Source organism: Homo sapiens, chromosome 17 (genome assembly GCF_000001405.40).
Source record: "Homo sapiens chromosome 17, GRCh38.p14 Primary Assembly".
Lineage (NCBI taxonomy): Eukaryota > Metazoa > Chordata > Mammalia > Primates > Hominidae > Homo > Homo sapiens.
Window position 1 is genome coordinate 3,874,450 of NC_000017.11, and position 13,315 is coordinate 3,887,764.

The following is a 13,315-nucleotide window of genomic DNA, read 5'->3' on the forward strand; positions in this document are numbered from 1 at the left end:
CAACCTCTGCCTCCTGGGTTCGAACGATTCTTCTGCCTCAGCCTCCCAAGTAGCTGGAATTACAGGTGCCTGCCACCATGCCCGGCTAATTTTTGTATTTTTTAGTAGAGACGGGGTTTCACCACGTTGGCCAGGCTGGTCTCAAACTCCTGACCTCAGGTGATCCACCTGCCTCGGCCTCCCAAGTAGCTGGAATTACAGGTGCCCGCCACCATGCCCGGCTAATTTTTGTATTTTTTAGTAGAGACGGGGTTTCACCACGTTGGCCAGGCTGGTCTCAAACTCCTGACCTCAGGTGATCCACCTACCTTGGCCTCCCAAAGGGCTGGAATTACAGGCATGAGCCACCATGCCTGACCGATATATAAGTCTTATCAATGATTAATTTCTGGCTGGGCGTGGTGGCTCACACCTGTAATCCCAGCACTTTGGGAGGCCGAGGCGGGCGGATCACGAGGTCAGGAGATCCAGACCATCCTGGCTAACACGGTGAAACCCCGTCTCTACTAAAAAATACAAAAAATTAGCCGGGCGTGGTGGTGGGCGCCTGTAGTCCCAGCTACTCGGGAGGTTGAGGCAGGAGAATGGCGTGAACCCAGGAGGTGGAGCTTGCAGTGAGCTGAGATCGCGCCACTGCACTCCAGCCTGGGCGACAGAGCGAGACTCCGGCTCAAAAAAAAAGAAAGATGATGAAAAAGCCAGTGGGACAAAATGTCAATAATTGGTGAATCTGGGTAAAAAGATATAGGGGATTTCTTTGTACTATTCTTCCAACTTTTCTGTAAATTTAGAATTATATCAAAATAAAACATTTCAAAAAATCTTTATCAACATCCCCAACGTCTTTCTTTCTTTCTTCGAGACAAGGTGTCGCTCAGTCACTCAGGCTAGACACCATCACAGCTCACTACAGCCCCCAACTCCTGGACTCAAGCGATCCTCCCACCTCGGCCTCCCAAGTAGCTGGGACTACAGGTGTGCACTACCACACCTGTCTAATGTTTTTATTTTTTTTTTTGTAGAAATGGGGTCTTGCTATGTTGCCCAGGCTCATCTCAAATTCCTAGCCTTAAGAGATCCACCTTGGCCTCCCAAAGCACTGGGATTACAGGCATGAGCCACTGTGCCCGGCCTCCTGACCTCTTTCCTGGATACTCACACGTGTCCAAATGCCTCTCACCCACAGCCTCCCTGGCAGTGGGGTGGCTGGCACTCCATAGGTGAAACAGCCATGTGCCCAGGGAACTGCGCCAGACCGTGTAACCTCTTGTTCAGACAACTTTGCCTACGCTCCTGTCACTTAGGAGAAAGCCCAAACTTCCAGGCCCTTTATACCCTCTGCCCCCCACCCTGAGCCCTTCTGTTCTCTGGTTTATTCTCTAGGCTCCAGGTCCTGCTCAGATCCTCCCCATTCTTCAAGGGCCAGTTCAAATCCTGCCATGTCCCAAGATCTGCGGGGACCCCCAACTTCCCCCGAAACCATCCAGAGGGCAGGAAACAGGGTTCTCTTTGTTTCTGCCTCTTCCACAGTCCAGTCCAGAACCCAGCACAGAGCAACCAACAGTAAATATCTGCAAGGGAGATTTGGGACCACTTTGCTGGAAAACAGGAGAAGGCCAAAGTTGTGGAGTTTGTCAGGCTCCAAGGAAGAGGCAAATATGTCACTCCCTAGACACAAAGACCCTGGCACCCTCAGGTTAGAAACTGGGCCACTGCGGCAAGCTATTACGCCCCCCACTTGAACCCCAGCCTGGCCCAGGGCCTGCGAGTCACCTTCCCACTGAAGCTCTGGCCGGAATCAGAAATGGCCTCGGGGGCCATGAATGCTGGGGTTCCCGCCGTGCTGGACAGCTGAGCGTCGTTCCCCTCAAACTGGTTGCTGACGCCAAAGTCGGCGATCTTCACGTGCCCATCATCCCCCAGGAGCAGGTTGGATGGCTTGATGTCCCTGTGGACGATCTTCTGGCAGTGCACTGCAGAGAAGGGGAGCTTGAGCTGAGCGCTGGCCTGGGCACCGCTGGCCAGGACCCCACACCCGTCCTTGCACAGCCAGGGACGCCGGCCGGGACATCCCAGCCCATGCACACTTTCGTCTGGTGACGACCTGGGAGGAGGACGTCAGGGCCATCTGCTCCACGCAGGTGCAGACACTGAGCCCAGGCTGTGAGCAGCAGAGCCAGGACTGGAATCTTAGGAGTCTTTGGACTCCAAGTCCAGCACCCTCTCCATGACAAACAAGGGATCTGCTGCTGAGTGGGGAGGTCAGAGGAAACTAGGGCAGGAGAGTTGTTGCTGTTTTTTTTTTTGGTTTTTTTTTTTTTTTTTTGAGACAGAGTCTCACTCTGTCCCCCAGGCTGGAGTGCAATGGCGTGATCTCGGCTCACTGCAGCCTCCACCTCCCAGGTTCAAGAGATTCTCCTGCCTCAGCCTCCCGAGTAGTTGGGATTACAGGTGTCTGCCACCACGCCCGGCTACTTTTTGTATTTTTAGTAGAGACAGGGTTTCGCCATGTTGGTCAGGCTGGTCTTGAACTCCTGACCTCAGGTGATCCACCCACCTTGGCCTCCCAAAGTGCTGGGATTACAGGCGTGAGCCACCGCCCCCAGCTGGGAGCAGAGTTCTTCCTAGGCTAGCTCTGCCCCTTCCCTGTGAGTGCCGTCTGCAGGCCCAAAGCCAATCAAAACCTTTCTCCAGTTCCATCCCCCACCCAGGCTAGGCAAAGATGTCCCTGCTGCTGGGACTGAGAGTAAGATTGTAGGGACTCTGCTATCCTACAGAGGTACCATCTCAGCCCTCGGGATCTGGGCTGATGGGGTTTCAGAGAGATGGATGGCACCCCAGGCCTTGGGACAAGCAGGATGACACAGCTGGGGTGTAAGGTCAGCCACATATAGTAGGACGAATCCCAAATCAGAAATGACCTAATAGGCTGGAGGTCTGCCCTGCTTTCTGGGCCCAGCACCACCACGAAGTGACAGGTGGCTCAAGCTGACATGACTGGTAAGGTCCCAGCCAAGAGAGACAATGACCCCACTGACCCCATCCCGCGACCATCGACCTGTGGGCTCCCTCCTTGGCAAGTACCTTCATCTGGACCAACGGACCCCAGGATGCTGGAGAGGAGGGAGGAGAGAAGGCGAGAGAAGAAAGAGGAAGGGAGAAGAGGAGAGGGAGGCTGCGGGCAGAGAAGGCGGGTGCCGTATAACAATAACCATAAAACCAGTGGCACTTTCTTGATTGCCTACTATGTGCCAGGCACACACAAGGAATCTGACACACCCTTCAGGGCACAGAAGCTCAGGGGGGTGGATATTTGACCATGGAAAGTGGTCTCATGTTCTTATCTCAAACCCTAGCCTCTCCCTTGAACTCCAGCTCTTTACCCACATAGATTTCCAATAGACATCTTGGTAGATAACTAGGCAGCTAGGCATCGATATATGTCTCTGTATATCTGAACACAGTGCAATAACATGTCTAATTCAGAACTTGATTTCTCTGCCTGCAATGCCTACCACCAACAAAATCAAAACAAAGCAAAACAAAACGCCCCTGCTGCTCCCCATTCTTTTCCATTCTGTGAAAGGCCAAAAACTTCAGGATCATCCTCAATTCCTCCTCTGAGACCCCACATCCTGCTCATCAGCAAGGTCTGTGAGCTCAGCTTCTCACATCTATTCCAGATCCAACTGCTTCTCATCATCTGCATCGTTGCACCTGCCCCCATCAACTGAGAACCAGGCCTGGGCCACCCTGACCACCGAGCCCTCTCATGGCAGCCTCAACTCTCTCTTCTTGGGGCCAGAATCACAAGGCAGGTCTTCAGCGCCCTCGTGCCTCTGTTCATCCACCTGTCCAGCCCCTGGCGCTAACCGTTCTGCCCCAGGGAAGCCCTTCACTGTGATTAGCTGGGTCCTGATGAGGCTTTACCCAAGAACCAGGTAAGATAAACTCGTTTCTTTGTGGAGGCTAGGGGATAGCAGACAACAGGACTTCAGGGGAAAGAAGGGACTACAACAGGAAGGAGGTGGAGCCAAGCTGGTACAGGATTGTGCCTGCCACTGACCGTACCGGGGTAAAATGTCCCCTTCCCATCCCATGCCTCTAGGCCCTTGGTAGGGATTTTCTGCAAAGCCCTCCCCTCTGTGTGCCTCAGTTTCCCCATATGTGCAAAGAGAGTCTTAATCTGAAGGCAAAGGAGAGGCTCGAGCAGGATAAAGACAGTCCTGTTTCTGTCACTGCAGGTCAAACCTCAGCCAGATCCCCACCCTGTTCCCCCAGGGAAAGAATATGCTCCCAAGAAACCAAGCTAAGATTTTATTTTTTATTTTTATGTATGTATGTATATATGTATGTATGCATTTATTTATTTATTTATTTTGAGATGGAGTTTCACTCTTGTCACCCAGGCTGGAGTGCAATGGCGTGATCTCGGCTCACTGCAACCTCCACCTCCCAGGTTCAAGCGATTCTCCTGCCTCAGCCTCCCGAGTAGCTGGGATTACAGGTGCCCACCACCACACAAGGCTAATTTTTGTATTTGTAGTAGAGACAGGCTTTTGCCACGTTGGCCAGGCTGGTCTCAAACCCCTGACCTCAGGTGATCTACCCACCTCGGCCTCCCAAAGTGCTGGGATTACAGGCATGAGCCCCTGCGCCTGGCCCAAGCTAAGATTTTAGAGATGGGCATCTCCCCTGGTCCCCAACCCACGCCAGGACCCTAGGTGTCTAGGGGCTCTCCTCTCCCCAGACCGGCAAGTCACTCCATGCTGACCACCCCACCTCCTTCCTATCCCCATCCTGCTGCCACTGCCTTAATCCAGGCCTCACCATCTGTCACTTGGGCTGCAGAAACAGCCTCCTCCCTGGCCAGCTGGCTGCCTCTCACCCTCCGATGACACACTCCAATCCAGCCACCACACAGCTGCCAGACAGAGCTTTCTCAGGCACAAATCCCATCACGCCCCTCCCCATGCTTAAAGCTCTCAGGGCCTCACAGAGCTGGCAGGATGCAGTCAGCAAAGACCTCAGGGGAGGGATTCCCAGCCCTCATGCTGTGGCCCGGACAGTGTTTCCAGCATCATCTTTCACTAACCACGGCCCTCCTCTGCCCACTGGAGGCTTCAGCCAGACTCCACTTCTCCCCAGACTCAGAGTACACGCCTATGCCAGGCACATCGTCTTCCACGCCCATCCCTCAAAACCTGAGCAGGGAAGTCTACTCATCCCTCAGGACCCGAATCATAAGTAGCCTCTTCAGGGAGACTTCCCCAGCCCCCCGGCACTCCTACAGCCTCTAGGCTCCCCAGCCTTGGCAGGCACCACGCTGTATTATCTGCCTGCCTAGATTCCTGTCCCTCCCACTAGGCCGTGAACTCGGGTCTGGGTCTTTCACCCCTATGCCCCCAGGCAAGTGAATGTAGCTAATGAATGAAATGAGACAGAGGCCAAGCTCACATCACCCTCCTGAGCTCTTATCAGACTAGGGCCCCTCACAGGTAAATCCACCCTGCCACCATGCCCCGGCCCCATGCCAGGACAGACTCTCCCCAGCAGCTGGACATAAATCCCTTCCTTCCCACATCTCTTGAAGCCCCGTGGCAACGCTAAGCTAGGCTAAGAACTCAGCAGAAGAAAGATACAGAACAGCCAGGACTCAGACCCACAGGACCAGACACGACGAAGGATCTGGCACATGCCCAGTGGAGTCCACCGCCCGCCCCACCCCACAAAAAGGCCTTTGGCCCCGCCACACGTGCATGCCCCACTCCCACTGAAGCTGATTGGCAGGTCAGCTCTGACTGACGGGAGCTGCTCAGAGTCTGCTCAGCCTGGGCTCTGCCGCCTGCCAGATCCCCTAGCCCCAGCCCCAGTGGGCAAGCTGCCCCGCACTCACAGTACTCGAGGCCCAGGATGACGTCCCGCAGGTAGAGGCGAGCTTGCTCCTCCGAGAAGGGCTTGTCACAGGGCACTTCCATGACGGGCCTATGGAGAAGGATGCGGGGAGGGGCATTCAGCTGAAATCAGGGCACCCGGCCATTCAGGTGGTCGGGACGTCCCGGGAAACCTGTGCCCACATGAGTCCCTACAACTCAAGATATTAGCTTTTTCTGCTACATAATAAAAAATTTAAAGCACACATACTCATACATATCCCATTTCAATCATAATTTCAAATCAGCTTTCTCTTAATTTCTGATTGGCTTGATATTCCTTCTTCTAAGTACTTAATTGTCCATAATCAATTGCAAAGATGCCATTTAGAGCACTGTTTCAAACCGTGGATCCAGACCCAAGAGAGGATCATGAAATCAATTTAGTGGGTGGCAACTGCTTTTTTTTTTTTTTCCTAAATAAGTAGAATATATCAGAATATATTGCATGTAGTAAAGATATATGCTGCTTTGTAAAATTTTGGTTTCAGTTACAGATATGGATAGCAATAGAAATATATATTTCTTGTTTTGGATAGAGGTCAAAACATTTGAAAGCCTCCAAGTCTTAAAGGGACACCACTCCCTGCCCCTCTCCCCAGATTGGTCTGTAGGGAGCCGCCCAGGCAAAGGGACAAGCCGCAGGCTGCATTCAAGCCTTGGCAGTGAGGGTCCCGGACCACCCAGCCCCGTGCTCATTACTCCATGTCATCTGCTCTGTAAATACCCTGAAAAGCCGCATAGGGCAGACATGTGGAAGCCTGGGCTCCATCAGTGACTTGCTGTGTGACCTTGAGCAAGCCACGTACCTTCTCTGGTCCTTAGCTTTCCCTCTCACAAATGGGAGCAACTGGAATCCCACCCACTCCATTCACAGACTTGTTGGAAAGCTGAAAAACCCTTTGTGATTTGAATACCGGTAAGAGTTGAGTCCCACCTCTATATACTTTTACCTAAAAAACACTCCTTTCTTCCCCCTCTCCTCCATCCCTATCTTCCTAGTTCTTCAAGGCCTGGGTCAAAATCCGTCCCCTTTTCCAGAGGTCTCCCTGACTATTTCAGCCTCACTGACCCCCATCAGCCTTCAAAGAATGGTCCTCTTGGTCTCTTATTTACCCCTAAGGGCAGGGCCTCCGTCTCTGACTTCTCCTAGAGTAGCTGACCCCTGGGCTGGGGACACAGGGAGGGAAAGGAAGGAAGGCCTGGATGAGAATTGACCTGCCTGATCAGGACGGGGAACTCACCCCTTTCTCAGGAGGTCAAACACTGAAAGAAAAGACAAGAAGGTAAGGTGTAGCTGGCTGGCAAAGCAGCCGATGCCAAGGTCCCTCCCTGTTCTGGAGGGTAGGAGAGGGGGCAGGCATGCAGGCATACTCGAGGCAGGGACAGGACAGGGGACCCTGGGATATGAGAGCAAATAAATGCATGAGAGTGGGGTCTGCTATGGACCTGTCTCATCTGATCCTCAGGTGCCAGGTGAGAACCATCAGCATCAGCATGGGGCCCTTTTACAGAGGGGGAAACTGAGGCACAGAGAAGGGGCAGAAATTTTCCTAAAGGTCATAGCAGACAGGCAGGTAGGGTAGGGAGTGGAGACTAAAGCCTCAGCCTCTAATTCCTAAGCCAGTTCTTCTTCTGCCCCATTTTCTGAGGCCTCCTCTAAGCCCAGCCCTGAACCAGACACAAGGAACTAAAATAATAACATTACTATTAACAAGGATAATAACGAATGTGCTTTACATATAATTACTCATTTACTCTTCACAGGAACCCTATGAGGTAGACACCACTAGTATCCCTGTTTTATAGGTGGGAAAACTGAGGCACAGAGCTACAGTGTCTGGGAACCCATGCAGCCTGCTTCCTGCATCTACCTGAGCGCGCAGCCCACGTGGATCCACTGTCTTGCTGCTCAGAGGGAAGCAGGGAGTGGGGCTTGGCGATATTTGTTGAATCTAACTGGATATTCTGGGCCTGGTTCTGCAGGGCTGGGCAAGGGAATCCAGGGCTTCAGAACGTGTGTTTTTCTTCTGTCCCCAGGAGGTCAGTGCATTTACACCGCCCACCTGAAGGTCATACATGTCCCAAGGGAGCCCTTGGGCCAGCCCTGAGTGAGCTGCTGTGGGAATGAGCCAGGTCACTCACCCAAATAGAGGTTGTCCTCAGCTGGGTCATCCAGGACCTGGTCAGAGGGAGCAGACATGGGGGTGGGGCTTGAGGAGGCGTGGGGTTGGAGGTCCCAGGCCTCCTGGTCCTTGCCAGCCCCAGAACCCTTAGTATGCATGCAACCACCCCAGACAAGGAAGCAGGAAGTGTACAGGTGGTGCCAGACTGATGGGGCCTCAGAAGTCACCGACCCCCAACCTGGCCCGCCACACGACATCCAGCCTTCCTCCCCTCCAGCTGCAATGAGGGGCTCACTTCTTGCCTCTGGGGCAGCCCCTCACCCTCCATGGGAACTTGGGAACATCCCTGACCAGGCTGGGCCCCCAAAGCCTTCCTGCAGCCCCACCCCAAGTCTGGCCCTGTCCTCAGAGGCCTCAGCCACATCTGCCACCTGGGCAAGATCCCTGGGTCTGTGCTAGGGGCTCCCCAGCACCAGAAGCGGCTCCCATGAGACTCAGGTGCTGGTTCCCACCTGCTCACCACCACCCCCTACCTCGATCAGTTTGACCACATTCACGTGGTCCAGCTTCTTCAGGATGGCAATCTCCTGGTACACCCGCTCCAGGGGCAGCAGCTGCTTGGCTGGTCCTCCCTGGGCAGCCTGGGACCCTCTCGGGGGAGGGCGACCTGTGACCAGGAAGAGAACTCAAACACCTGTTCCAGGTGGCTGGGCCTCACCGTGGCCCCCAAACCAGTCTCAAGCAAGAGTCTTGCATGCCCGTGGTCTTGTCCCAACCCACAGGGCACATTCTGTCCCCAGGCCTCTGCTCACGCTGTCTCCCTCTCTACCCCATTCCTAGCCAAAACTAGCTCAGGATCGAGGTCTCCTCCTCTGCCTCCAGGCTAGGAGCTCCCAGGGACAGGATCAGAAGATACATACGTGGAAAGCCATACTGCTTCAGTAACTTCTTTTTGGAAAGGACTTTCATTGCCTAAGGAAGGAGGGACAGAAATGTCACTACTGTGCAGCCACCAGGGGCTAGAACAGGCTGGTACATGTGGACTGAGGTCCGGAGAGGCACACTGGACATCTGCTACTGGCCCTGAGGGTGTGGCCCAGGTAAGTGTTAAGCGGGGTTGGGGGTGGCCATATCTGAGCCTAGCCCTTCCCCTTATTCCCCCAGCAAGCCTTTCTGGAGCTTTCCCCTCAGAGGAATCCAGTCTCTGCTTGCATATCCCCAGGGTTAGGAAGCTCATTCCTTTGCATACCCCTAGGGACAGGGAGCTCACTCTCAGGCAGCCCTGTCCTCTATCTCCTAAGCACAACTCCTGCCCCACCCCTCAGGCTTCCAGGGCCTGGCTTGGGCAACACCTCCCTCGTATCCCCAGACTCACATAGTGTCTGTCTTCACTTTCGTTGTAGGCCAGCCTCACCACACCGTAGGCACCCTGCAGATAGGCATCAGTCAGCCCCACCTGGACAGGGCAACCCCTCCCAGGACCAGCTCAGGAGGTGGGGAGCCGAGCAGCTCTGGTCTCTCCTGCACCCCATCTGCACTACCCACCACCAGCTGGCTCACGGGCAAATATTGTAGCAGATGGGGAGGGGACTCCTGCGCCCTGGTAACTGCCCCTGCTTGGCTCCACATGGCTCCATGCCTCCCTCAGTCCCTCCTTGTCCACTGTCAAGAACTCAGAGAGTCGGGAATCAGGAGCCATCTTCCACCCTCCCCCTGGGTACCTGGGTACTTCCCACAGGGCACGAAACTGTCCTCACCTCCAGGCTAGGACTTGCCTGGCTCTGCCTCCCGTTCCCTCCCACACGAGAGAAGGAGCAGCGCCAAACAGAGAATCCCGAAGCCCCCACTGCTCTCGGCCTGCCCACTCCTACCTTGCCAATCTCACTCTGCAGCTTGTACTGGTTCAGCTGCACGCAGTCCTGTGGGGGAAGAGCGAGCACCAGGTGGAGCTGGGTCCGGAGGCAGCACTGCTCCTACCTCAGAGCCCGTTCAGGGTCCAATTCTGGCCATAAGCTCCTCATTCCCGGACCCCCAGGTCTCACCAAGCTTTTGAGTTTGGATGGGGAAGTTGGTGGTGCCATCGCCCCCGTATGTGACGAGAAGACGTGGCTCATGTTTGAAAACATGGATGGTGACGCCATGGCTGTGCCTTGTTCCCCAGAAGCAGTGGTGAAGGGAAAACGCTAATTCCTGTCTGGATTCTGGAGTCTGGAAGACCCTAATCCATGAGAAACCCATGAGCAACTATTTCCAGAAGCAGCTGAATGAGAAGGTCTAGACTCCAAGGACAAGATGAGGAGCCCTGGGCACAGAGGCTGAGAGCCTGGGTTCAGGCACAGAAAGCTCAGCCCCTGACATCTGTAGACTGCTTGGAACCTGAGTTCACTTTCAGACCTAAATGGCAAGAACTCCAGCAGAAGCCCAGAGGCTGGAGGCAGGCCGGCCGCTTCTGAGTCACAGCAGACTCTAAGAGGCAGAATTAGAGGCGAGGGGTGCAAGCTGGAGAAGAGTTAGGGGGGAAGGGGGACATAGCATCTATCTTCACATCTCTAAGAAGACTACATAGGGGACCAGGGAGAGACCTATTTCCTAGGCCTGGGCTGGGAGTGGGAATAGCAGGACTTAGGGAAGGCAGCCTTTGGCTCAGCTGGAGCTCCCCTGGTTGGGAAGAAGCTATATTGTTAGGTAGTGATCTCCCCAGCTCTGAGGGTATGCAAACCAAAGCTAGATAGCCGTGTGGCACAGACAGGGGCAGGAAAGAGTCTTCATTGCAGACTACTGAGGGGCTCATGAACAACCCCTCGTTCTGCCCCACCAACCTCTGCATCTGAGATGGCCACGTGGTGGGACTCGATGGTGGGCCTCCGCCAGGCCCGGGGGGAGATGTGGCTGGCAGGCCCCGTGGCATAAGGCCCAGCCTGCGCCTCCAGATAGCTTCCTGCTGGCCGCTCCTGTAGGGAAAGCTTCCTGGCTGAGAGGCTAGGCCGGGCTGGGAGCAGTCTTGAAGTACTGCCAGGGATCACAGAGGCAGCTCTGGCCCGTGGTGGGGGGTCCACACCGTTTCTAGTAGGCTCTGGGCCACCATCTGCCTCCTCCAAGTGAGTCACATCGATGGCTGCCACCCGTTCTACCAGCTCTGCCCGAGGATCCTGGCAGCAGACAGCTGGACCCCCCTCCATTGCTTCAGTCAAGGGGGTTCTTCTGCGTAGCCTTGTTGGGAACCTGAGAAAAGAAGGCAGAGAAGGCTTCACTCCTGGGTGTCAGGCTGGCTACCAGGTAAGGTAGCCACAGCGCTGTGGGTCCCACCTCCATGCCTTTGCCCTGGCTGTTCCCTCTACCGGGATTGCCAACACCCAAACTCAAGTCTGTCCCTATGACCTGAATGAATTCACATCGGTTCTGCCGCATGCCAGCCCTCTAGGCCTCAGTATCCCTGCCGGTAACAGAGGCAGTCACTTCTGCCTGCTGGCTTCACAGGGAAGCAGAGAGAATCTGATATTCTGGAATCAGGACAGACAGGGCAGAAGCCTGGAGGCCCAGCAGCACTGGAAGGGGCAGAGCCCAGGGTCAGCTCAGCCCCAGCACAGCATGCAGCCCTGTGAGTCATGAGTCCCAACCCTTGACAGCAGAGCACTCCGACACTGCCTCCTGGAAGCTGAGCTAGACACTAGTAACTCAGAAGCCTTGCTGATGCTTCAGACCCACCCGCCTCCTCCAGGGAGCCCTCCTTGATGTTTCAGCCTCCTACCCCCATCCCTCTCACTGCTTCCAGGAAGACTTCCCTGGGGCTCCCGACTCCAGCCAGCCCTGCCTCATTGACGTCTGTCAAAACAAGGGGATGGGCCCCACATGGTGGCTCACACTTGTAATCCCAGCACTTTGGGAGGCCGAGGCAGGTGGATCACCTGAGGTCAGAAGTTCGAGACTAGCCTGGCTAACATGGCAAAACTCTGTCTCTATTAAAAATACAAAAATTAGCCAGGCATGGTGGCGTGCACCTGAAATCCCATCTACTCGGGAGGCTGAGGCAGGAGAATCGTGTGAACTTGGGAGGTGGAGGTTGCAGTGAGCCAAGATCACGCCACTACACTCCAGCCTGGGTGACGGAGCAAGACTCGGTTTCAAAAAAAAGCAAGGGGATGAGAATGAGGGGAATGAGGGGTGAAACAGGGGCATGACATCCCCTGAGACTCATGTTCTCAAACTCACTGTGTGGCGGCTGAAACATCAGGGAGGTGACCCCCAGCCCTCACCTTCAGCCATGACCCTGGGCTACATCCTGACCCCGGACTGAACCCTGACACTCAGCCTGAGACCCCCATCTCTGTCCCAGGCTTGTAGAGCGCTGGCCATGCCCAACCTGATGCCCTTCCCCCTGCTTGCGCTGGACTCTGCATGTTCTCAGGAGAAGGAAGTGAGTGAACTCCTGACCCTCCATCCTTCCTGTCTGCTGGTAACTTCCTCCGAACCCACACAGCAACTGAGAACATGGGTCTCAGGGAGACCCAGAGTACGCATGGTGAAGCGCCTGCTCTACCGCTCGTTCCCCATCCCCTTGCTTTGACAGATGTCAGCGAGGCAGGGCTGGCTGGAGTCCACCGGCCACTGAGGAGCCAGGACTGGGTTCCAGTCCTGCCTGCTGACCCACCAGGGGCCCTAGACCAGCTCCTTCCCGACTCTGAGCCCCAGTCTCCCGACTTGTCCTGTGGATTCCCTGCCTTCCCATATTTTCCAGGCTCACAGCAGGGTTTGGAGGTAGACTGAGGGTAAGGGTGAGGTCCAGACCCCCTGTGCCCGGTACGCAGTGTGTTGAATGAGTAGAAGCCTGGAGGCGGTGGGGCTGGTGCTGACATGGAGAAAGGAAGAGAGGAGGCTCCACACTAGGAACAGGAAAAGTCATGGAAGCTGGACCCAGAGGAGTGAGAGGGAGTTAATGAGGCTGGAACATCAAGGAGGCCTCCCTGGAGGAGGTGAAGGAGGTGAGGAGGCTGAGTGAGGCTAGAGTATCAGGGAGGCCTCCCTGGAAGAGAGGGCAGGAGACAGTGAGTGCGGCTGTGGCACAAGGAGGCCTCCCTGGAGGAGGTGAGAGGGGACAGGGAGTGGGGCTGTGGCACAGGGAGGCCTCCCTGGAGGAGGTGAGAGAGGACAGAGAGTGGGGCTGTGGCATAAGGAGGCCTCCCCAGAGGAGGTGAGAGGCTGTGGCATAGGGAGGCCTCCCTGGAGGAGGTGAGAGGGACAGTGAGTGGGGCTGGAGCT

At 55.3% G+C, this 13,315-nt stretch overlaps 1 protein-coding gene across 3 annotated transcripts in view, besides 2 other annotated features; it reads right to left on the reverse strand.

The window, feature by feature from the left end:
* The window catches only part of CAMKK1 (calcium/calmodulin dependent protein kinase kinase 1), a 32,739-nt gene that overhangs the window by 14,135 nt on the left and 5,289 nt on the right, over positions 1-13,315 (reverse strand). For 2 of the 3 annotated variants that reach the window (NM_032294.3, NM_172206.2), the window contains exons 2-10: positions 10,879-11,281; positions 9,931-9,978; positions 9,435-9,488; positions 8,980-9,031; positions 8,593-8,726; positions 8,079-8,115; positions 7,178-7,199; positions 5,897-5,985; positions 1,774-1,973 (exon numbers count right to left, since the gene is read on the reverse strand). In NM_032294.3, coding sequence (NP_115670.1) covers positions 1,774-1,973; positions 5,897-5,985; positions 7,178-7,199; positions 8,079-8,115; positions 8,593-8,726; positions 8,980-9,031; positions 9,435-9,488; positions 9,931-9,978; positions 10,879-11,238 — 996 coding nt within the window. In that variant the 5' untranslated portion in view covers positions 11,239-11,281. Of the gene's footprint in view, positions 1-1,773; positions 1,974-5,896; positions 5,986-7,177; positions 7,200-7,807; positions 7,922-8,078; positions 8,116-8,592; positions 8,727-8,979; positions 9,032-9,434; positions 9,489-9,930; positions 9,979-10,878; positions 11,282-13,315 lie in introns of all 3 variants that reach the window. The other variant, NM_172207.3, reaches the window with a different exon arrangement.
* Positions 5,566-5,860: a silencer, noted in NCBI's record as "tiled region #11291; K562 Repressive non-DNase unmatched - State 16:ElonW". NCBI's record gives its function as "represses a minimal TATA promoter and a strong SV40 promoter by Sharpr-MPRA in K562 cells {active_cell/tissue: K562}" and the evidence as "EXISTENCE:reporter gene assay evidence [ECO:0000049][PMID:27701403]".
* Positions 5,566-5,860: an enhancer, noted in NCBI's record as "tiled region #11291; HepG2 Activating DNase matched - State 10:DNaseD". NCBI's record gives its function as "activates a minimal TATA promoter and a strong SV40 promoter by Sharpr-MPRA in HepG2 cells {active_cell/tissue: HepG2}" and the evidence as "EXISTENCE:reporter gene assay evidence [ECO:0000049][PMID:27701403]".